This window comes from Homo sapiens, chromosome 11 (assembly GCF_000001405.40).
Source record: "Homo sapiens chromosome 11, GRCh38.p14 Primary Assembly".
Classification (NCBI taxonomy): domain Eukaryota; kingdom Metazoa; phylum Chordata; class Mammalia; order Primates; family Hominidae; genus Homo; species Homo sapiens.
The window spans coordinates 56,251,573-56,277,305 of record NC_000011.10 but is presented as its reverse complement, the minus strand read 5'-3'; the positions used below and the strand labels follow the sequence as shown (position 1 = coordinate 56,277,305).

Sequence of the window (25,733 nt, the reverse complement as noted above, 5' to 3'; positions counted from 1 at the left end):
GTTATGATTATAGAGCGAGGATTATTATAACATTGGAATAAAGAGTAATTGCTACAAACTAATGATTAATGATATTCATATATAATCATGTCTATGATCTAGATCTAGTATAACTCTTATTGTTTTATATATTTTATTATACTGGAACAGCTCGTGCCCTCGGTCTCTTGTCTCAGCACCTGGATGGCTTGCCACCCACATAACATTATCTGACTTCAGATTATACTATGGAACTCATTTTCAACAAAGGTGCCAAGAAAATACATTGGGGAAAGGAGAGCCTCTTCAATAAATGGTGCTGGGAAAACTTACTTTAGCACCCATTATAGAGTTATGTAGGAACACATGAAGCCATAGAATCCAGAGGACATCATTATTAACATAGCCAGTGAAAATCAAGTTATACAAAAACTAAAAACAGCAATGTTTGCACATCAATGAATATTTAATGCAGATTAGTTTAAACATTGTCATAGGCTATGAATACAAGCCATATTTTATACATGATACAATATATTGATATTTCTAAAATGGTGAATTAGTAGGCTGATTGATGCTTTATTTGAAAATATTCTAGAAGTTACAAGCACTGTTAACTAAAAGAAACACATTTTCTTCTCTACTTTCTGACCATAGAGATGTGGACTGACACCCAATATTATTTGCAACTTTACTCAATTTTAAAACTATAACTTATTTATGAACCAATTTCTCACAAGCAATCTTTTGATTGCCTCCTTTACATCTTTGTTCCGCAAACTGTAGATGATGGGATTCAGCATGGGAATCACAATGGTATAAAATATTGACACTATCATGTCATTGTCCGAAGTGTAGCTGGAACTTGGTCTCACATACATGAAGAGGATTGTCCCATGATAAATTGTCACTCCAGTTAGGTGAGCTCCACATGTAGAGAAGACTTTTCTCCTCCCTTCAGCAGACTGCATCTTCAGAATGGCCAACAGAATAAAACCATAGGAGATCAGGACAATCAGGATAGTGACTATCTCAATAGAGCCCACAAAGTAGAAGAATAGAAGCTGGATTACGTGAGTGTCAGAACAAGAAATAGCAAGCAGAGGAGGCATATTACAAAAGACATGCCTAATTTCATTGGATCCACAGAAGGACAGGCTAAATGTAGCCACTGTATGTATAGTAGCATGTAAAATGCTAGCAACATAGGAAGCAGTGATGAGTGGCACATAGACTCTGGGTGACATGCTCACTGAATACAGGAGAGGGTTGTAGATGGCTACATAGCGATCATAAGCCATTGCAGCCAAGAGAAAGCATTCTGTGGTTCCAAAAGTACAAGCAAGAAACATCTGTGTTGCACATCCAAGAAATGAAATAGATTTATTTTTTGCCAGGAAATTGACCAACATTTTTGGAGTGACAACTGTAGAATAGCAGACATCCAAGAATGATAAAACACCAAGAAAATAGTACATTGGGCTGTGAAGCCAGAAATCCCCAATGATCGGTACAACCAGCCCTAAATTGCCTATTAGAGTGAATAGATAGATTGCTAAAAATAATAAAAATAGGAAGACTTGCACATCAAATTCTTCTGTGAAGCTTATTAATATAAACATGGTGACTTCAGTAAAATTGTTTAATTGAAGCTTGTATAGATCCATATCTGAAGGCAACCCTGACATTTTAGCTATTGTTTATATGTACTAAATGCAACAGCCTGTGAAAATTAAGTTTATCCAATTATATCCTCATGTTCGTTTCTTGGAAAAGCAAGATGAAATCCTTGTCAGCAAATGCACAGGTGGTGATAAAATTGGGTCCAAGTGGATACATTACTGTAATTAAATAAATTAAATAAATTATTTTATTCAATCATGCACTAAATTTATCTTTTTAACATGGATGAAGCTGGAAGCCATCATTCTCAGCAAACTATCTCAAGAACCGAAAACCAAACACCGCATGTTCTCACACGTAAGTGGGAGTTGAACAATGAGAACACATGGACATAGGAAGGGGAACATCACACGCCAGGGCCGGTCGGAGGGTGGGAGGCTAGGGGAGGGATAACGTTACGAGAAATACCTAAGGTAGGTGTCGGGTTGATGCGTGCAGCAAACCACCGTGGCACGTGTATACCTATGTAACAAAACTGCACATTCTGCACATGTACCCCAGAACTTAAAGTGTAAAAAAAGTCTATTTAATCAGTTTAATTTCCTGTTCATTTTCCATCAAATGTACTACCATCTATTCTTAATATTAAATTGTTTCAAAACTCATAAAGACTGAGTGCTATTCCTAGGTTTTCTAAAAAGTCCATTGAATTACTTTATTTTTCTCATTTTAAATATGGAAACAATCATATCTACATTATAAGAGTGGGTTGTATTTAAATGGGAAAAACAGTATGTAAGTTATTTAATATTTAAATATGCCCAGATAACTAGAAAATGCAATGTCAGGCTTATATTAAAATTTATCATTTGAGACAGTCTTTCTGACCAAACCATTTCAAATCCTTTTTTTTTTTTTGGCAATTATCCTGCTGTTGCATTAGTACTTACAGAATGGTGGTGGATACAAGAGATTTGATTCTGGAGATAGATGCACCTTGTTTGCAAACCAAAAGAATTTGGTGTTCATTTTTCATTTATTTTTCCTTTTGTGTTTCACTTTTCTTTCCTGAAAAAAATATCACCAATTTGTTCATTTTGGCCTGTGCAGTTTTTTTAAGCATTATTATTTTTCAGATTTTAACTTAAAACCAATATCAGACGTGTCAATTTATATGATCATTTGGTCATTATGCCTGTGAAGTCCTTGGGTGTATTTTTGTGACATATTTATATCAAAAATGAATTATGGCTATCCTTTTACTATGATTCTTACGTAACTTCTGAAATTTCTATAAAATAAATACCATCCAATAACAAGTAATACAATTATTTTTATAAACTGTTGCTAAAACAACACACGTATTCTCTCCTATGATCCTTGGAAAGTATGTGATTCAATTTGTAATACAGCTTCACATTAAACAGAACCCTCTTTCTTATATTTAAATAGTAAGAAATATGTTTTAGTCTTAAATTCAAGGTGAGAGCTTCTTAATATTTTACAAGTGATCAGATTCCTTTTCTCTTACCTTTGGAAATGAACTGCTCACTCAATTCAGGTATGCTATGAATATTGTGCATTTGAATTCTTATACCAGGCCCTTGAGCTCTAGAATTCCACAGGGATGCCCAAAGAAGAAAACACACTAATTCTCTTCTGGGATAAAACAAATTATGATTTTTTTTTTTTTCTGTAGTGAACAAGTAACTGATCTGGAACATGCATTACATGATTCCAATGATCACATAAGTGTACTTTCTACCTAGGTCCAAAATAATCCCCCAGTGGAAAAAAATATGCATATTACTGAAAAAGAAAGCTAATAATACAGGCCATAGTGCTAGCTCTGATTCTAATTATCTACATGCTATCAAATTAATAACTTAAATTCTCTAAAATTCAGTTTCTTCTTGAAATTATAACCTATGAATTATCTGGAAGTCCTATTGTCACATACATAATGAAATAATATGAAAACATAACCTATGACAAGACATATAATCATTTAATAAAGGTTACTATATTTATTTAAATTTGACAGTCCTCTAATTCTAAATGGTATGAGAGAGATTTAACTTCATTGAAAATTTAATAGGCCAGGTGCGGTGGCTCATGCCTGTAATCCCAGCACTTTGGGAGGCCGAGACAGGCAGATCACCTGAGGTCAGGAGTTCGAGAACAGCCTGGCCAACATGGAAAAACCCCATCTCTACTAAAAATACAAAAAATTAGCCGGGCTTGGTGGTGGACGCCTGTAATCCCAGCTACTGGGGAGGCTGAGGCATGAGAATTGCTTGAACCCAGGTGGTAGAGGTTGGCAGTGAGCCGAGACCATGCCACTGCACACTCTAGCCTGGGTGAAAGAGTGAGATTCCATCTCAAAAAAAAAAATTAATAGAGGAGATATTAATGCACATAATTATAAGGTAAATCTATGAATAGAGAATATTAACAGAAGAGTTAGGGCAATATGCAGATGTTCTATGTAATAATTTTCTGTGAACTAGAACATTAGACTCAGATATATGGCAGAGTTAAAGGTCAATTTTTTAAGTTCTGCGAGATCTTTTCTATCTTCAAGAATTGATATACTAATCTATATACTTGTTCTTTGATATGCACATAAGAAATTATCCAAAATGTGATGAAAAATACATGGATGATCAAAAGAATGAAATGACAACAGACTAGGAGAAAATACTTGCAAGGACACATCTGATAAAAGACTGTTATCTAAAATTTACAAAGAACTGTTTAAAACTCAATAGGAACACAAACAACCTGATTTAAAAATGAGTCAAAGACCTTAAAAACCACCTAAAATGGTCAAAAAGGCCGGGTGCAGTGGCTCGCCTGTAGTTCCAGCTTCCAGCCTGAAAGGCAGAGGTTGTAGTGAGCTGAGATTGTGCCTCCGCACGCCAGCGTGGGCGACAGAGCAAGATTCCGTCTCAAAAAAAAAAAAAAATGATTTTAAAAATGAGTCAAAGATACCCCATAAAAGATATACATATGGCATGTAACCATATGAAATTGATGCTCCACATCATAGGTCATCAAGGAAATGCAAAAAAAACAATGATATATCTCTTCATAACTAGAGTGACCAAAATCCCAGAACACAGAAAACAGCAAAAGCTGGCGGTGATGTGCAGCAACAGGAAAACAGGAATTCTCATTCATTACTGGTGGGAATGCAAAATGGTCCAACTACTTTGCAAGACAGTTTGGAAGCTTCTTACAAAGCTAAATTTACTTATAATCCAGTAATCATGCTCCTTGGTGCTTACCCAAAGGAAACAATATCCACACAAAGTTTTGCACATGGATGTTTACAGAAGCTTTATTTATAATTGCCAAAACTTACAAGCAACTAAAATGCTCTTCAGTAAATAAATGTATTAATAAACTGTGGTTTATCCAGATAATGAAATATTATTCAGCTCTAAAAAGAAATGAACTATCAAGTCATAAAAAGACATGGATGAAATTCAAAGGCACATTACTCAGAAAAATAAACACATTTCCAACACCTAGTGAATGAATAAAACAATTGTAGTACATCCATAATATGGAATACTACTCAGTGATAAGTAGGTATAAAATATAATTATCTAGTACAGGAATGAATCTCAAATACTTCTTGCTAAGTTGAAAAAGCCAAACTCAAAAAGTTACATACATTGTGATTCCATTGATATAATATCCTGGACCAGGCAAAATCACAACAGAAAGCACATCTGTGGTTGCCAGAACTTGGGAGTAAAGGAAAGTAATTGGCTACAAAGTGATGAGAGGACTTTATAGGGTAATGAAAATATACTATAACTTGATTTGCTTACCTACTTGTGTTTATCAAAATTCATATAACTGACACTTATAAATGGTAAATTTTTCTGTTTATATTAAAACTTTAGAAAACTAGCTATTACATAAATTTATCATTGCTTCAGAATAGATAATGACTAGAGGACAGAATAAGGTAGCTGAGGCTGCTGACAATGGTAACGGGCTGCTGGCAACCTTCTAAAACATTATTTTGTTATTTTCATCCTTGTATACTTTAACTCTCATCATATGGAGTTCAATTGCCATCTTCTTGCTCCATCCATGTTTAAATGTGCTGGGCATCTTGACTCTCAGAAGAAGGTACATAGGAAGTTGGTGATATATCAAAGTAACTTTTCCAGGTTCATGCTGAAGGAATCACTCTCTAGCTTTCATTGTGGCCTTAAAATATTACTGTAAAGCTACTTTAGCTCTCAGACCTAAGCCTAATTTATGAGCAAATTCTCCCTGCTCTTCCTTGAGTCCTATAGACAGTCAGTTCTTGCCTTTCAAAGTGGTTCTCCACACCTTAGACATTTTATGTTGCCCTAAGTGTTCTGAGAACTACATCTCCCAGAATTCTCCTTTCTTAGTGAAGCTTTTCTTCCCAATGATTCTACTTGACTCAGTTAGCTTTTTTTTTTTTCAGCGTTTTGTTTTCCTTAGGGAAACAAGGACAAGTCTTTACTTGTCCTACTGAAAGGGTGTATATGCTGCACATTTGTGACATCCTTAATTACCTTGAGCACAGTTTCAATCATTCACGATCCTTTGGCGACACCTGTATTGAGACTGCACAGGGGTTGGGGTGGTAATTCACCTGAAACTTGGAACATATAAAAGCTTATCTACTCTTCCAGCTTGACTTTGCTGGAATTTTCACTCAATAAATTGTCTTTTCTTTTTACTGGTGGAGTTTGAAAATTCACGAATTCCATGTGTTATAGGTACTGTTAATCCTTCCTTTTCCCAGTTAATTCTGTGTCTGGTAAAAAAAAAAAAAAAAGTTGCTGATTTAACAAGATTCTGTTGCAACAGGGTGCTTTGACTCAATATTCTTTTTATTTTCAGGTTTTGTGGTGGTAGTCTTTGATATAATTTTGAAAAAACAAATAAAAATTATCCATTTATGTATTTTTCACTTTCACTCATTTCATGTTTGCTTGTTTATTGATTTTTTAAATATGTTGATGGAGATTCTGAGTTTATTAGTGAAAGTTTATGCCTGCCTTGCATCAGCTTCTTTCTCTCCTTCCTTTTTTCTCTTTCTACCTTTTCCTTCCTTCCTTCCTTCCTTCCTTCTTTCCTCTCTTTCTCTTTTTTTCCCTTTCTCTCTCTCTTTCTTTCTTTCTTTCTGAATGCATTGAGTAGAGGTGCAATTTTGTTGTATGGATATATTGAATATATTGAATATCTTGACTTTTAGTGTATCCATCTCCTGAATAATGTGCATTGTACCCATTAAGTAATTTCTTATACTCCACATACCTCTGACTCTCTCACCCTTCCAACTTTCCACTGTAATTCATTCCACACTCTATGTCATATGTATACATTATTTAGCTCCTGCTTATAAGTGAGAACATATCATATTTGACTTTCTTTTTTAAAATTGTTTCATTTAAGATAATGGCCTCCAGTTTCATCCATGTTGCTGCAAAAGACATGCTTTCATTCTTTTGTTGGTGAATAGTATTCAACTGCTTATATATAACATATTTTCTGCATCTAGTCATCCATGGTTGAACACTTAGAGTGATTCTGTATTTTTCTTACTGTGAATAGTGTGGTGATAAACATAAAAGTGCAAGTATCATAGAACCACCATTTGATCCAGCAATTCAACTACTGGGTATCTACCCAAAGTAAGATACTGATTTATCTTTTGGCAGATACCCAGTAGTGGGATTGCTAGATCAAATAGTCGTTCCATTTTCAGTTATTTGAGAAATCTCCATACTGTCTTCCATATAGGTAGTACTAGCTTACATTCCCAACAGCAGTGCATAAGCATCCCCTTTTCTTTGCCAACATCTGTTTTTTTTTTTTTTTTGACATTTTAAGATTGGTCATTCTAACTGGTGTGAGACGATATCTAATTAAGGTTTTAATTTTCATTTCTCTAATAAGTGATGTTGAGCATTTTTTCATATGCTTATTGGCCATGTTCATTGCATGTCTTCATTTGTAAAATGTTTATTGATATCTTTTGGTCACTTTTAAATAAGGTTATTTTTCTTCGTTGAATTGCTTGAATTCTTTCTAAATTGTAGATATTAGTCTCCCATCAGATGCATAATTTGCAAATATTTTCTCTCATTATGTGGATTCTCTGTGCCCTGTTGATGATTTATTTTGCTGTATGGGAGCTTTATAGTTTAATTACATCTCATGAGTTTATTTTTGTTTACGTTGACTGTGTTTTGGTGGTATTAGTCATGAAATATTGCATAGACCAATGTCCAGAAGATTTTTTCCTAGTTTTTCTTCTTGTATTTTTCTATTTTCAAGTCATATATTTAAGTCCTCCATCCAACTCGGGTTGATTTTTGTATATGTAAATGGTAATCCAATTTTCCTACACCATTTATTGCAAATAGGATTCTTTGTCCAGTGTGTGTTTTTGTTAAATTTGTTAAAAATCTGTTGGATGTATATATATGGCTTTATTTATGAGTTGTCTATTCTTTTCCATTGATCTGTGTCTGCCTTATATCCTACCATACTGTTCTGATTATTACAGCCTTATAGTGTAACTTAAGGCCTGGTAATGTGAAGCCTTGAGCCTTATTTTTCACTTGGGATTGATTTGGCTATTCACTCTTTTTTTGTTGTTCCATATGCATATTAGGATTATTTGTTCCAATTTTATGAAAAATCACGTTGGTCTTTTGATAGAAATTGCATTAAATCTATAGATTGCTTTAGGTGGTATATTCATTTTAAGATATTAATTCTTTTTTTTAAATTGTCAACTTTAATTTTAAGTTCAGGGGTACATGTTCAGGATGTGCAGGTTTGTTACATAGGTAAACCTGTGTCATGGTGGTTTGCTGCACGGATCATCCCATCACCCAGGTATTAAGCACAGCATCCACTAGGTATTCTTCCTGAACCTCTTTCTCCTTCCACCCTGCCCCTCATGCTCCAACAGGCCTCAGTGTGTGTTACTCTCCCCACCATGTGTCTATGTGTTCTCATTGTTCAGCTCCCACTTCTAAGTGAGAACATGTGTATTTGGACTTTTGTTCCTGCATTAGTTTGCTAAGCACAATGGCCTTCAGCTCCAGCCATGCCCCTGCAAAGAACATGATCTTGTTCTTTTTTATGGTTGCATAGTATTCCACATTTCTTGCGTATATGTACCACATTTTCTTTCTTTCTTTCTTTCTTTCTTTCTTTCTTTCTTTCTTTCTTTCTTTCTTTCTTTTTCTTTCTTTCTTTCTTTCTTTCTTTCTTTCTTTCTTTCTTTCTTTCTTTCTTTTGTTCTTCTTTCTCTCTTTTTATTCAGAGTCTTGCTCTGTCACGTTTGTGTACCATATTTCCTTCCCCTCCTTCCCTCCCTCCCTCCCTCCCTCCCTCTCTCCCTCTCTCTCTCTCTCTCTCCCTTTCTTTCTTTCTTTCTCTCTTTCTTTCTTTCTTTCTTTCTTTTGTTCTTCTTTCTCTCTTTTTATTCAGAGTCTTGCTCTGTCACGTTTGTGTACCATATTTCCTTCCCCTCCTTCCCTCCCTCCCTCCCTCCCTCCCTCTCTCCCTCTCTCTCTCTCTCTCTCCCTTTCTTTCTTTCTCTCTTTCTTTCTTTCTTTCTTTCTTTCTTCTTTCTCTCTCTCTCTCTTTCTTTCTTTCTTTCTTCTCTTTCTTTCTTTCTTTCTTTCTTTCATTCTTTTTCTTTCTTTCTTTCTTTCTTTCTTTCTTTCTTTCTTTCTTTCTTTCTTTCTTTTGTTCTTCTTTCTCTCTTTTTATTCAGAGTCTTGCTCTGTCACGTTTGTGTACCATATTTCCTTCCCCTCCTTCCCTCCCTCCCTCCCTCCCTCCCTCTCTCCCTCTCTCTCTCTCTCTCTCCCTTTCTTTCTTTCTTTCTCTCTTTCTTTCTTTCTTTCTTTCTTTCTTTCTTTCTTTCTTTCTTTCTTCTTTCTCTCTCTCTCTCTCTCTTTCTTTCTTTCTTTCTTTCTTCTCTTTCTTTCTTTCTTTCTTTCTTTCTTTCTTTCTTTCTTTCTTTCTTTCTTTCTTTCTTTCTTTCTTACTTTTTCTTTCTTTCCTTTTTTCAGAGTCTCTCTCTGTCACCCAGGCTGGAGTGCAGTGGTGGGATCTCAGCTCATTGCAACCTCCACTTCCTGGGTTCCAGCTATTCTCCTGTCTCAGCTTCTGAAGTAGCTGGGATTACAGGTGCACGCTGCCATGCCGGCTAGTTTTTTGTATTTTAGTAGAGACGGGGTTTCACCATATTGGCCAGGCTGGTCTCAAACTCCTGAGCTCAGGCAATCCACCCACCTCAGCCTCCCAAACTGTTGGGATTACAGGCATGAGCCACTGCACCTAGCCCCTTTGCCCACTTTTTAATGGAGTTGTTTGTTTTTTTCTTGTGAAATTGCTTAAGTTATTTGTACATTCTGGATATTAGACCATTGTCAGAGAATAGATTGCAAAATTTTTCTCCCATTCTGTAGGTTGCTGTTTACTCTGTTGATAGTTTCTTTTGCTGTGAAGAAGCTCTTTAGTTTAATTACATCCCATTTGTCAATTTTTGCATTTGTTGCAATTGCTTTTGGCATCTTCATCATGAAATCTTTGCCCATGCCTATGTCCAAAATGGTATTGCTAGGCTTTCTTCTGTGTTTTACATCTAAGTCTTTAATCCATCTTGAGTTGATTTTTGTATATGGTGTAAGGAAGAAGTCCAGTTTCAATCTTCTGCATATGGCTAGCCAGTTCTCCCAGCACCATGTATTGAATATGGAATCCTTTCCCCATTGCTTTTTTTTGTCAGGTTTGTCAAAGTTCAGATGGTAGTAGGTATGTGGTCTTATTTCTTGGTTCTCTATTCTGTTCCATTGCTCTATGTGCTGATAAGAAGAATGCTAACAAGGGATTTATACATTCAGATACAAGAGTCTCAGTCATCATTAGAAAAATACATTGCAAATCGGACTTTGCCATGCTGTATAGTCATCAGACTGTCTAAATTCAATGTGAACAAAAAATTCCAATGTCAGCAAGAGAAAAGTGTCTAGTCTGCTGAAAAGGAAGCCCCATCAGACAAAAAACAAACTTTTCAGCAATAGTCTTGCAAGCCAGAAGAGAATGAGAGGCTATTTTGAAAGTGCTAAAGGAGAGGAAAAAAAAAAAAAGAGCTGTGAATTTTATATCCAGCTACAATAAGCTCTATAAATGAAGGATAAATAAAGTCTTTTCCAGACAAGCAAACGGTGATGGAATGCATCACTACTTGATCAGCCTCATAAGAAATACTAGAAAAAGTCCTAAACATAAAAACAAAAGGCTGATATTCACTACCAAAATATCACATGGGATTATAAAATTCAGCCATTGTATAAGACAATTACACAAAGAAGGAAGAGACTGGAATTAAATAGCAATACAACAGAACTACACTAAACTACAAAAAAAAAAAGAAAAAAAATAAGAATGTGTAAAACAACTAGCTAAAAATGTACAATGTGACAGGAATAAAACCTCACATATCAGTATTAACCTTGACTGTAAATGGATTAATGTTCCTGTTAAAAGATATACATTTGTGGAATGAATTTAAAGAATGATCAAACTGTATCCTTGGTGATAAAAACACATATAGACTAAAAGTAAAGGAGTAGTCGAAAAGGATATTCCATGCAAATAGAAACCGAAAGTGAGCAGAAAAACTACACTGTATCTCAGATAAAACTGACTTTAAATAAATAATAAAAAAAGAGTAAAAAGACAGACAAAAAGAGTCATAATATAAAAATAAAAGGATCAATTCAACAAGAGTATATATCAATTCTAAATATCTGTGCACCCAATATTGGAACATGAGATGACTTATGATGTTTTACAGAGATGTAAATTTTTTGCCTTCTTTAAGTCTATGGCATTTTTGTAGCTTTCTTATTAATTTGCTATTAATACTCCAATGATTTCAAGTATTATACTTTATTCACTGCAAACATAGCAGTTTATAATTTTAACAGAATGAAAGTGTAATGCATTTGAATGACTGTAAATCTATCTGCTAGATTGTGTGGAAGACATATGGTGATTCAATGTTATTATAGTTCACTATATTTACTGACTCATTGCAATATAAAATGGCTTATATTGCCAGCATGAGGACACTAGGCCTCAGAGAAGTTAAGTTTTAAGCCAGTGTCAAAGTTATGTTATAAAATTGTGTGTCATGGCCAGGCACAGATGCTCATGACTGTAATCCCAGAACTTTGGGAACCAAAACAGGCCAACAGCTTGAGCCTAGAAGTTGGAGACCAGCCTGGACAACATAGAGAAACCCCATCTCTACTGAAATTAGAAAAACTTGACAGACATGGTGGTGCACAACTATAGTCCCAGCTACTCAGGAGGCTGAGGTGGAGGTGAGCCTGGGATGTGGAGGTTGCAATGAGCTGAGATCACAGCATTGCACTATAGCCTGGGCCACAGAGCAAGACCTTGTCTCAAAAATAAACAAATAAATTAAATTATATATGTCTCATATCTTAAGGTTTTTATTTAATATTAAAACACTTTAAAACATTTTTAAATGCCATCATTTTAACCAGAGGACAAAAAACCATTCAATAAATGTCAACATACGGTACCTTTTTCTAAGCCATTTACTTTTTCACTATTGAATAAATCATATTGCTGTTCTTAAACTGGAAGATAATGAAAGCATATTCTCTTGGGCATATCTCCTGTGAGTTTCATCAACATTCAAGTAAGTGGATATAAACAATCTATATGAACCATATTCATTAGGAAATCAAACCTACATTTGCTGTTCCACAGGTAGGAGAAATTTTCAGATCATTTGGAGATTATTTTAGTAGCTAGAACCTAAGAAAACAAGATCAAATATGTTATTTTGTACTAAACACTTTAGCTACTAAAAAGACTGTAGAAAACACATTAATTCTTGACCATTGTATAGGTGAATAATTTGTATTCATACACACCTGATTTGTGCAAAGTTCTGGCCAATAATTGAAAACCAGTTGAAAACAGATCAGTTTGAAGTATGAACAATCAGGAATTTACCAATAAAGGGCAAGAACATATTTATCTTATTCAACTAATGAGCATTTATATTTTGATATAACAAGAAAAACAATAAAAAATTATTTTAAGTTTATTTTTGCTAGCCATGGTATCTAGAAGTCACTTAGGACTGCTACTTACTTCTATTGTTTCTCTAGCTTCAATGGTTAAAAAAATCCAAATACCTCGAGAATCATGTTTTGTTTTATTTCACTGGGGATAGTGGGTGGGGTTGGAATGTAACTTTCAGAATGTAGACAAGGTCTAATAGAAGGCAGTAAATCATTGAAAAGTCCATGCATTATTTGGGTGACAGGAAGTTTAATCTTGCCTCTGGCACTTGATAGCTGTGAGATTTACTACAAAGTTGCAATAAAACAATGTGCACAAAAGTCTATTTCTATAGCAAGTGCTCAATAAATGGCTATTATTTCTCTCCTCCTTTGCAAATTTAGTGTTTCAATGTCAAACTCAAGATATTTGGAGAGTTATGTCTTCTACTAAATTTGTATTTATAGATGTGGCTTTATATTAATTTTCAAAGCTGATCGTATATTATTAATTTCTTCCAGAATCATAGTCATTTACTCTTTATAACTCTCAATCTTTTCTATATATGCTAATATTGACTTAGGCTAAACCAGGAAAACTCATCTTTTGGCATCTAGTAAAAATGCTGGTTTAAAGACAAATTTAGCTGAAGTGCTTAACATCATAGCTTTTCTCTATATCATTTATTTAAAGTAATATTAAGCCCACTATGATGTAACAAATAGTATTGTGGTAATATAATTGTGGTAATTTTGGGTATTAACAGATCACATAATTTCTGAAACATCTTTTACTTGACTAAAAAATACTTCAAAGTCATAAAGAGTAGACAGAAGAAAATCACAATCAAGATACTAAATTTAGAATATTTAAATTTAATCCTGATAGAATATTTGAGTATGTATTAATAATTTAAAAAACAAATTTATTAAATATAACAAAAAATAAAGGATCTGGTTCAAGGCTCTTGTCACATATTTTTCAATGATTTAGTTATAATATTAATTTTGCGACCTAATTTTTACCAGTATTTAAAATGTATATATATGATGACAAAAATTCAATAATGTTGTAATATTAAATATAACAAATTGATATATTAAAGGAAGTTCCTTCATATATTTATGTTTTGAACAATTGTTTAGTCTGCCTGTCTGCACATCATTGTGCTGCGTGGTTATTCAAATACATTTATATTTTAAAGAGGAAAAACCTTTGTAGAGAAGGCCTAACATCATACATGGCTCCAATCTGTGGAATTGGAATAAAGCAGATTGCCCTCCATCATTTCGGTGAGCTTCATCTAATTGGTCGATTGGCATAAAATGACCACCCTCTCACGAAGAAAAGAGTATTCTTCAAAAGACTGTCTCAGACATCATCAACCACATTGACTCTTCCTGGTTCTATGGAAGACTGCTTATGGACTCAGACTGAAACAGTAGCCCTTCTGGGTCTCCTGCCTGCCAACTCACCCTACAAATGTTGGACTTGCTAACCTTTACAATTAGTAGCTCTGGTATTTCTGGAATTGGCTGTCTAATATGATTAGTTTTAAAGACACTAATGAGGCTGGATGTGGTGGCTCACACCCGTAATCTCATCACTTTGGGAGGCCAAGGTGGGAGGATCACTTGAGTCCAGGAGTTCAAGACTAACCTATGCAATATAGTGAGAACCCATATATATATACAAAGAAATAAAAATAGCGTGGTGGCAAATGCCTATGTTCCCACCTACTTAAGAGGTCTGAGATGGGAGGATCACTTGAGCCTGGGAGGTTGAGGCTGCAGAGAGCAATGATCATGCCAACAGGGTCCTATAGGTGAGGGACAAAGTGTAAACTATGTAGAGGTGTGCTATACTCTAAAAGAAGTATTTGAGTTTCCTAACATATACAGGCTGAAATTCAGAGAATATGTTTGGAAATGGATATTAAGGATGTAAGATAATGATGAAAGGAATATAATACTGGATGAGACCAAATTTTTTGATACAAATCCAGTAAGCAGAGATAGTGCATTTAATGTTGCAGCTCAAAGAGTGAGAAAAGACTCTAACACATTTTTTGTTTGGCTAAAACATGGACCAAAAGGTAGCCCACAGTGAGTTAAATGTGAAGTCCCTGCTTTTATTTTTCTGTAGAAACATGGATTTAAAGGGTTAAAGATATTGAAAAGTTGAAGTGAATTTGCCTGTTAACATCTACCAACCCAAACTGGAAAAGTCCAAAAGATACATTGCTCACCAAAATAAACTTTGGTTCTTTGAGTAATCTCCATACTGATTTCCATAGACATAGAACTAATTTACATTCTCACCAGTGGTGTATAAGCATTCCCTTTCACCACATCCACACCAACACCTATTGTTTTTTGACTTTTTAATAATGGCCATTCTGGCTGGGGTAAGGTGATCTCTCATGGGGGTTTCGATTTGCATTTAGCAGATAATTATTGATGTTAAGCAGTTTTTCATATGTTTGTTGGCCATTTGCATATCTTCTTTTGAGAAATGTCTATTCATGTCATTTGCCTACTTTTTGGTAGTATTATTTGTTTTTATTCTTACTGATTTGTATCCCTTGTAGATTTTGGATATTAGTCCTTTGTTGGATGCATAGTTTGCAAATATTTTCTCCCATTCTGTGGGTTGTCTGTTTACTCTGTTGATTATTTCTTTTGCTGTGCAGAAGCGTTTCAGCTTAATTAGGTCCCATTTATTTATTTTTGTTTTTGTTGCATTTGATTTTGGGATCCCAATCATAAATTATTTGCCTAGGCCAATGCCCGAAAGAGATTTTTCTAGGTTTTCTTCTAAAAGTTTTATGGTTTCAGGTCTTAGATTTAAATCTTTAATCCATCTTAGGTTGATTTTTGTATATGGTGAGATATAGGAATCCAGTTTCATTCTTTTACATGTGGATATCCAGTTTTCCCAGCACCATTTATTAAATAGGGTGTCTTGTGCTCAGTTTACATTTTTGTATGCGTTCTTAAAGATCAGTTGGTTTTAAGTACTTGCCTTTATTTCTGGGGTTTCTGTGTTCCATATGTCTATGTATCTATTTTTATACCAGTACATGCTTTTTTTGTTAACTATAGTTTTGCTTGTAAATATTTGCCTTTATTTCTGGGTTCTCTGTGTTCCATCTGTCTATGTATCTATTCTTATACCAGTACATGCTTTTTTTGTTACTATAGCCTTGGTTGTAAGTATTTGCCTTTATTTCTGGGTTCTCTGTGTTCCATCTGTCTACATATCCATTCATAAGAATGGATACATACTTTTTTTGTATGTACCAGTACACACTGTTTTTGTTATTATAGCCTTATAGTATAATATTAAGTTCAGTAATGTGTTGCCTTCAGATTAGTTCTTTCTGCTCAGGATTGCTTTGGCTAGCTGGGTTGTTTTTAGGTTCCATATGAATTTTGGGATTGTTTTTCCTAATTCTGTGAAAAAGTTGACATTTTGACAGAAATTGCATTGAATCTGTATATTGCTTTGGGCAGTATTGATGGCAACGGCAGTCCATATGGAGTAGCCGCTGCAAAGACAACGGCTGCAGCAGGGGAGGCAGCTGGGGCTTTGTGCTCCACAGAGCCAGAGTGGGCCAGGAACAGGCAGGAGCCCTGCCCCGTAACAAGTTGGCAGGGTGGGAACCCTGTATTCCCAGGCACAGCTGCAGCCACCCAGCTGTGGCTCCAGACCTGGGCATTCCTGTGCTTGGGTGCCCAGGAGACCCCCTGCCCCTACAGGCTTTAAAGTGCCTGCTCTTGCTACCCACCTCTCCTAACTCCTGGCTCCCACTCCAAGGAATAGCAACGTTGTGGTCAAGCCTGGGCACTATTGCAACCCAGGTAGGTGTGTGCAAACTAGCACACCAGCCCCCTGCTGCCTTGGCATCCTGTGGACTTTGGGCACCAATGAGCATGGGAGGGAGGCTGTGGGGGGTGCTGAGGGTGGGTTGCCATTGGCCTGCAGGAACTCCTTGGCACAAACAGCCTGGGTGCCTTGGATGGTGAGAGACAGACAAATTCCTGGGCAGAAAGAGGCATGTCTCCACCCACCTTCAAGCCAGGGATGGCCTGAAGCCTAGGGGCCTGGGCTGCCAGTTCTGGGTGGAGTCTATGGCCTGGAGTGAGAACTTATATTGCTTTTTCTGGGTCCTTCCATGGCCACCCATGGGCCAATCAGCATGCACTTTCTTCTTTCTGAGCCCATGAAAACCCTGGACTCAGCCAGACTTGGACAGAAATCCAACTACCAGCTGCAGGAAGGAGCTACCAACTTTGGGTCTCCTTGACTCACTAGGACGACTTGCCTATGGAAAGGAGCTAACAACTATGGGTCTCGTCTCCACTGAGAGCTGGACACTTGTCAGGATGACCTGCCTTTGGAAAGAAGCTACCCACTGCAGGTCTCCTTAGAGCTATTCTGTTGCTCAATGAAGCTCTTCTCTGCCTTGTTCACCCTCCAGTTGTCAATGTGCCTCATTCTTCCTGGATGTGGGACAAGAACTTGGGACCACCAAATGATGGGACTGAAAGAGCTGTAACACAAACAGGGCAGAAACATGCCCCCTGCTACCCCCCATCCCCCCAACCACCACATTGCAGGCAATGATTTAGAGGAGGAGCTGCAGCCCTTTGGGGAGCCCAGACCTAGTGTCTCCCCAGGCCAGGGCTATAACGTCCTCTTTGGGGCTCTATGGTTTCTGACATTTCCAAGCTTTCAGACACCACCACACTCCCCCTGTTCAGATGCAGGTACCCACAGTGGAAGCTGCTTGTGATACATCTGATCCAGCCACAGCCTCGCACAGAGCCAGGACCTGTGCTTGCACCTGGAGCTGCCTGCTCAGCTGCAGCAGCCAGTGTGCCTGGCTGTGTGGAGTGGCTGGACCTTATTCCCACTTGCTCCTATACTCCTTGCCACTCTGCACCTGGCTTGCCCTTGGCAGATGTGGGTCCTGGGCCAGGAGCTCAGGCCAAGGGCGGACTGCCAGGCAGAGTTAATAAAATGAGTCCAGCGGGTGTGAGCAATACTCAGGCATAAGGCCACAGAGGTTTCAAGCTGGCAAACCAACACCCCAAGTAACCTGTGACAGTATGGTCAGTTTTACAATATTGACTCTTCCCATACATGAGCAGATTTAAATAAAACTCTAGATTTTTAAATTTTGAATTGCTTTTGGAATGAGTTAGGATTTTGGGGTGCTATTCAGATGGAACAAATGTATTTTTTATGTGAGAAGGACATAAATTTTGGAGTCCTGGGGCAAAATATTATATTTTAAATGTGTCTCCTCCAAAATTCAGGTGTTGCCAATTTGGTAGCATCAAGAAGTGAGACCTTTAAGAGGTGATTAGGCTGTCCTTACAACTCATTCTTTGTTAATGAAATTAAGGCTTATATGAAAGGCTTCGTTCAGCAGTTGGCTAGCTTGCTCCCTTTCCTGTCCACCTTCTGCCATGTGAGGATGCAGCAAGAAGGGTCTCACCAGACAGTAAATGCTGCCACCTTAATCTTGGACTTCTCAGTCTCCAGAAATGTGGGAAAACAAATTTTTATCCTTTATAAATGACCCAGTCTCAGGTATTCTGTTTTAGAGGCAAAAAATGGACTACTGCATAGAGTGCATTGGCTTTCCATCACATTGTTTAAATATAGTCCACTTTACAGCATAGTGCTTGAGGTATGGAATATCAAGGAAAAAAAGTAAACATCATCTAAGGACTTTTCATCCTCTTCTAGGGGAAAGGGTGAGAACAGTTTTGATTTTATTAAGAATGGAAATATCATGTTAGGTAGAAGTTTGACCTTATTTTTGTTTTCATTTGGAGATCAAGTATGTTTTAAGGGGATATATATGACTGCCAGGTTGACAAGGGGTACACTTATATTGATTAATTTTAATGTGTCAACTTAAATGGGCTATGATGTGCTTACATTTGGTCAGACATTAATGTGTTTGTTACTCTAAGGATGTTTTGGGAGAGATTAACATTGAAATTGGTGGCATTTGAGGAATGCCTATTGACCTCCATAATGTGGGTTGGCCTTACTCAATTAGATGAAGGTTTGCATGGAGCAAAAAACTAGCCTCTCCAGAGCAAGAGCTAATTCTCCAGCAGACTGCCTTCAGATCTTGTCTACGTCACCAGCTCTTCCTGGTTCTACAGCACTTTGCCCATGGGTTCCGAGTAGATTATCAATAATCCTGGATCTCCAGCCTAATGACCCACCCCGTAGAATTTGAAATTGCCAGCCTCCCAAAATCAGATGAGCCAATTCCTTGTAATGAATCCTTCATCCCCCTCCTCCCCCATACATCCTGTTGGTTCTGTTTCTCTGGAGAACCCTGATTAACACATCCTTCCTTGGGTCTCCTGAGTATTTTGTACCTGTGATTTTATGTTCTCTTATTTTTAGAAAATTCTTGACCATTTTGTCTTCAAATGTTTATTCTGACCCATTCTCCCTTGATTCTTGTTCTGAAACACTAACTGTATGTATATTGGACTGTTTGATGTTGCCCTACAGTTCTTTGATAACTTTTAATTCCATATTTTTTCTTTAACTTTTCTCTCTGGTTAATTTATGTTGCTTTATCTTTAAGTTCACTAATACTTTTCTCAAGTTACTGAATCTACTGATAAACTTGTGAAAGAAATTCTTTGTCTCAGATATTGTGACTGTGAGCATGAGTTTTTATTTATAGAATTTTATTGAATACTTCCATATATTTTCCATCTCTGATATTTCTCACATATTCATGCATGGTGTTTACCCTCTCCACTAAAGCATTTATTCTAGTAATTTTCATGCTCTTTACTCAAAGACAACGAGGAATAACGATATTTGAAGACGTTAATTTTATTTGTTTTTTTTTTTTTTTTTTTTGTAAATGCTTGTTGGGGGCCTGCAGAGAAAACCTTGGGAGTGAATGCAAACTTTATTCTAGGACTTCCTGCTTTTCCCAATAACTCTCACTTGGCCTTTAAAATTACTTAATTTTAAGCTGATTTCCTCTGTTTTTAAACTATACTTTAACTTCTGGGATACATGCACAGAACACGAGGTTTATTACATAGTTATACACGTGCCATGATGGTTTGCTGCACCCATCAACCCATCATCTACGTTAGGTATTTCTCCTAGTGCTATCCCTCCCCTGGCACCCCATCCCCCAACAGGCCCTGGTGTGTGATATTCCCCTCCCTGTATCCATGTGTTCTCATTGTTCAACTCCCACTTACGAGTGAGAACATGCAGTGTTTGGTTTTCTGTTCCTGTGTTAATTTGCTGAGAATGACGGTTTCCGGCTTCATCCATGTTCCTGCAAAGGACATGAACTCATCCTTTTTTTATGGCTGCATAGTATTCCATGGTGTATATGTGCTACATTTTCTTTATCCAGTCTATCATTGATGGGCATTTGGGTTGGTTCCAAGTCTTTGCTATTGTGAATAGTGCTGCAATAAACATAAGTGTGCATGTCTCTTTATACTAGAATGGTTTATAATCTTTTGGGTATATAGCCAGTAATTTCTTCCTATCTGTATGGTGAACAAATATATCTCATACTCTGTGCCCACAGTGAAAGAAAGAGATGCTCAGGCATCTCATCTACATTTGAAGTAACTTGGTCTTCTTTGGAATTCAGATTTCTTGGATGTTTTGAACCTTGGTTCTCTGATAGACTCATGAAAAGCTATAATTTTGAAGATTACTTGGCTTTTTAAGTTGTTAGAATGAGAAGAATTTACTTTGCTGCTTTCCAAATTCTGTGTGGAAGTAGAGGTTCTGTATATCATTTAAAATCCCACCCAATACTGCGATTTCAAATGTTTCTTTTCTGGATAACTCTCCACTCACCACTGTAATATTCTTCTGGAGTTTTAGTTCTGTGCATTAAAAATGTAATGGAACCTCAGAATCAGTATACATATAACTGATCTTAACCACTCAACTTCTACAATATTCATCTCTCCAGTGTGTCCCCTTCCTATTTCCTTCCTTCTCCTTTTTCTGTCTGTCTCGTCTCTCTCTGTCTTTTTTTTCTCTCTCACTTTTACTTTTTATATTTGTCTTGTTTTATCATATAGGCTCAAAACTTGCAAATTCAAAAGGTCTCAATAAATAAAATGAATTGTCAAATCCAGATGAAATTTCACTTCCAATAACTTTTATTTTTAATTAATTTTAAAATTTATAATTGACAGAAAAGAATGGTATATATTTATTTATGGCGTACACTGTGATGTTCCAATGCATGTATACATTGTAAAATGGTCAAATCAAGGTAATTAGGATATCCATCACTTTAAACATTTATCATTTATTTGTGGAATAACATTTAAAATATTCTTTGCCAGCTATCTTAAAATACATACTACACTGTTACTGCCACAGTCACCCTACTGTGTAATAAAACATCAGGACTTACTTTTCCTGTTTAATTGTTATTTTATATCAATCAACCAACCTCATTTAATTTGTCTCCACTACCCTGTTTAGCTTCTGATAACCACTTTTCACTTACTTTTTACTTCTATAAAATCAAGTTGTTTATTATTATTATTATTATTATTATTCTACATATAAGTGAGATTGTGCAGTATTTGTATTTCTGTGCTTGGCTTATTTCACTCACTTATTCATCCATGTTGTCATTAATGGCAGGATTTCATTCTATTTTATTTCTCAGTAGTATTCCATTGTGTGTGTGTGTGTGTGTGTGTGTGTTTGTGTGACATTTTCTTTATGCATTCATTTGTAGATGGGCATTTAGGTTCATTCCATATCTTGGCTACTGCAAATAATGCTGCCATAAACATAAGAGTACGGATATCTCTTTGACATACTGATTTCTTGAAACTTCTACATCTCAATGAATGGAATGAATGGCCAAATCAGTGGAAACCACATTTTCAGTACTTTTAAAATGCATTCCTTTTTCTTCTTATTTCTGCCACAGACTTAATGAGGAGCTTCAGTATTCTCAATAATGCTCTCTGGAGGATAACTAATAAAGTTGGTAAAGTGAAAAGATAAATCTGTTCTTTCACTCCATGTATAACAAGCTTAAAAACAGGAACTCTGTAACCAGACAGCTTAGATGTGAATCCTGACATCACCCTTTAGAGCTATGTGGCATTGAGCAAATTCCTTAAAATTTATGTGCTGCTGTTTCCTCAACTTTGTTAAAAGATATTACTACAACCACTTCCTGAAGTTATGAGAATTACATAAGTTAATATAGTAAAAACTTTTACATGATTGTCCAGTACCTGATAAGCATATGTTAATTATTAGTATTAAATATAATTCATTCATGTACTCACTATTTATTTAATAAATATTTTGTCAGCAAACCATAAGTTCTAGGTACTCTTTTAGGACTCAGGGATACAATTTTGAGGACAAATATGCCCAATGCATGTTTTTATGCAAGTTACAATGTCAGCATCATGGTAGATCTGGATAATATATTATAAAATCACAACATCACATGCTAAATGGCAACTGTGATAAGTGAGAGAGGCTCCATGGGGTCATAGTGAGTCAAATCATTCTTTTGGGGGGAAAGGTAATTGAGCTGAGATATGTAACAAAATGTTCTATTGACTTGAGAGTTAAATATACCATTTTTCTCACCTTGACCTGAACAAATAGCAGGTCATTCGAGACTGCTTATTCACACCATTTGTTTTCTAATCGATTAGGATAAAAAGAGAGATAGTGAACTTTTCATGATGGTTAACTTGACAAGTTCTGAATGAGTTTGTTGAATGCATTGTTAACCAGATATTTTTAGGCATATGTCAGTGCATCATTTTACCTAATGCTCGCCTATTCCTTTCTCAAAGAATGACTATTTTTGCTAATTTGAAAGAGAAACAAAACAAAAAAAGAGATAGCAACCTTGACTAAAACGTTACCTAACAATTTTGACACCATAATTTGAAAAACCCTCAAAAAAATAAATGATTCTGGAATTCTGCAGAAATTTTAAATTTTGTGAGACAGCTATTTATTTAGACACATTTTTGAAGCATATTAAATTTTCTTCCAGAACATTCTCCCCAAAAGATCATACACAGGAAACTACATTTTAAGATTCTGTAATTCAAATAGCTTATTTTTTTAAGAAAATTTTGTCTACAGTGTAATCAGGGTTTTGTATCTAAAAATAGATTTATTTTTTTAAGAGGAAATTTAGTACAGATTTTGACTGCAAGCATTTGCTTATTCAAAAAAAGAGGGTTGGGTTCTCTTTGCATAATTGATTAGTAAAGATTAGAAACTGATGTCTGAAATTTTCAGTGTGGCTACTATGTTATGATTGGATCATTCTGGTTAATTCACATAAAAATATCCTTGGAGGGACAAGTGTGTGTTTTTTGAAAAAACAATTAATTTCCACTTTTAATGAATCTTCAAATAAATGTTTTAACAAAACTTACTAAAGCAGAATACGTAAAGTAAAGCCAGATGTGAGTAGAGGTAAAGCAAAATAATTTCCATTCTGTGGGCTTGCTCACTAGGTGTAAATTTTGTGGAAGGATGACATTGCAGTCATTTCTTACAGGTAAAGTAGATAGAAGATAATGGCAGGACTACGAAGTGAGCAAGGATATGCTAGTTTGTCAGACCTTAGAGCAGTCATTTATACATATGTCATAGTTTCATTCCTGGGGTATAGTGTTTCCTGAGCCTTCAGAACACTCTCAATAAATATTAGCATTCACAACCAATATAGTTTCACAATGACTACAATCAGCTTCTGTGGTTGAAAAGGGGCAAGGAAAGCATTTAATTGTGGAAAGAATTTATGATGTAGATATAAACACAGCAAAAGGCATGTTTGGAAGCTTGAGTAGATCTCAGTTTATGAAGGCACATTTAGGGAAAGTAAAGTAAAATTTGGATATTTCTTCTTAGGGCTTATAGATTGAGGAAGTAACTCCACAATGAATGCAAAAACTTTTTATCAGCCATGTAAGCATTTATCAATTCCCAGGATTCTGTAGGATTCACTTACTAGTTATAAGTGTGTAACTGATTTTTACTTACTGTGAAAGCTGTTGTTAGTAGTGTGTGGTTGGTAACAATAACAATATATTTATATCAAATAATATTTAATATAGATCTCTGAACAAATTAATTGGCAAATATGTGATGCAATTTGTTTACATTTGAAAAATGCTGCATTGGCAGGCTGCTTAATGCTTTTTTGAAACTATTCTTTGATATGCAAATACTTTAACTAAAATATAGAGATGTGAACTCTGACACTCAACATTTTTTTCAGGTTTACTCAATTTTAAATATATTCTTCATTTGTAAACCAATTTCAACATTTTCTTCACTGCCTTTTTTACTTCTTTGTTCCTCAAACTATAGATGATGGGATTCAACTTGGGAATCACAATTGTGTAAAATATTGACACTATGATGTCATGGTCTGAAGCATAGCTGGAACTTGGTCTCATATAACTGACGAGAATTGTTCCATGATAAATTGTCACTCCAGTTAGGTGAGAGCCACATGTAGAGAAGGCCTTTTGCCTTCCCTTAGCAGAATGCATCTTCAGAATGGACAACAGAATGAAATCACAGGAAATGAGGACAATCAGGATAGTGACTATCTCAATAGAACCCACAAAGTAGAAGAGTAGAAGCTGGTTTGTGTGAGTGTCAGAACAAGAAATAGCAAGGAGAGGAGGCATATCACAAAAGACATGCCTAATTTCATTGGATCCACAGAAGGACAGGCTAAATGTAGCCACTATATGTATAGTAGCATGTAAAATGCCAGCAACGTAGGAAGCAGTGATGAGTGGCACATAGACTCTGGGTGACATGCTCACTGAATACAGGAGAGGGTTGTAGATGGCTACATAGTGATCATAAGCCATTGCAGCCAAGAGAAAACATTCTGTAGTTCCAAAAGTAACAAAAAGAAGCATCTGTGTTGCACATCCGATAAATGAAATGGATTTATTTTTTGCCAGGAAATTGACCAACATTTTTGGAGTGACAACTGTAGAATAGCAAGCATCCAAGAATGATAAAACACTAAGAAAATAATACATGGGGTTGTGGAGCCAGGAATCCTCAATGACCAACACAACCAGCCCTAAATTGCCTATCAAGGTAAAGAGATAGATTGCAAAAAATAGTAAAAATAGGAAGACTTGCAGCTCAAAATCATCTGTGAAGCCTGTCAATATAAACATGGTGACTTCAGTCTTGTTCTTCAGTGGATTCCTGTATATATCCAAACCTGATGACAACTTGTCCATTTCAGTTTTTACTTGCAGGTTATAAAGGTTATAGCCTGTGAAAGTGGAGTCCATTCAATTGTATCCTTGTTTTTTTCTTGGGGCATAATAATTTCCCTGATAGTAATGGAATAGACAATGATGAAGTAATTGGAGCCAAATAGATGAATTTCACTGTATAAGTAAAAGGAAAAAAAATATGTAATTAATTTCTTGGCTAAATTTATCATGTTTTTAAAAAACCCTGCTAATTAAAGTGATTTTATTTTCCAGTTAATTTTCAGTTGAAATTTTTACTGCTTCCTCTCATATTATGTCCTAAAGCTCACAAAGATTGCTGAATGTAGAAATATTTAAAACTAAATATGTTATAGTGGAAAGCACACACTTGAGTACACTTTTAGATTTGTGATGAAGTACATGAAATGTCTTTTGTAAATGTTCACAATTTTAAAATAAGAGAAACCACACTCACAGCACAGTTGAATTTAAATGTTTAAAAATATCAAAACTATTTAATTTAAAAGGCTTCCAAATGACTAGAAAATGGGGATAAGTCAGACATACATTTCAACTTGTCGCATGCAGCAGCCTTTTTAAATAAAACCATTTCATGTCCTCTGTTCTGGCAATTATCTTGTTCCATTACATAGAAGAGCAGACTGTATTCTGGAGATAGACGTACCTTTACAAACATTACAA

The 25,733-nt window shown here is 35.8% G+C and overlaps 2 protein-coding genes across 2 annotated transcripts; both read right to left on the bottom strand.

Annotated features, from left to right (window-relative positions):
* Positions 1–486: 486 nt before the first annotated feature.
* OR5T1 (olfactory receptor family 5 subfamily T member 1) lies at positions 487–3,152 on the bottom strand. The gene is made up of 3 exons (NM_001004745.2): positions 3,134–3,152; positions 2,553–2,670; positions 487–1,820 (listed from the first exon to the last, which is right to left on the bottom strand). Exon 3 carries the CDS (start codon positions 1,665–1,667, stop codon positions 687–689), a length of 981 nt encoding a protein of 326 aa, NP_001004745.1. The 5' UTR covers positions 1,668–1,820; positions 2,553–2,670; positions 3,134–3,152; the 3' UTR covers positions 487–686.
* A 20,931-nt stretch (positions 3,153–24,083) lies between these two features.
* OR5T3 (olfactory receptor family 5 subfamily T member 3) lies at positions 24,084–25,052 on the bottom strand. The gene has a single exon (NM_001004747.2). It carries the CDS (start codon positions 25,050–25,052, stop codon positions 24,084–24,086), a length of 969 nt encoding a protein of 322 aa, NP_001004747.2.
* Positions 25,053–25,733: the final 681 nt, after the last annotated feature.

Coding starts and splice junctions, on each gene's coding strand:
- OR5T1 (NM_001004745.2), bottom strand. CDS start 1,667: ATGTCAGGGTTGCCTTCAGATATGGATCTATACAAGCTTCAATTAAAC.
- OR5T3 (NM_001004747.2), bottom strand. CDS start 25,052: ATGGACAAGTTGTCATCAGGTTTGGATATATACAGGAATCCACTGAAG.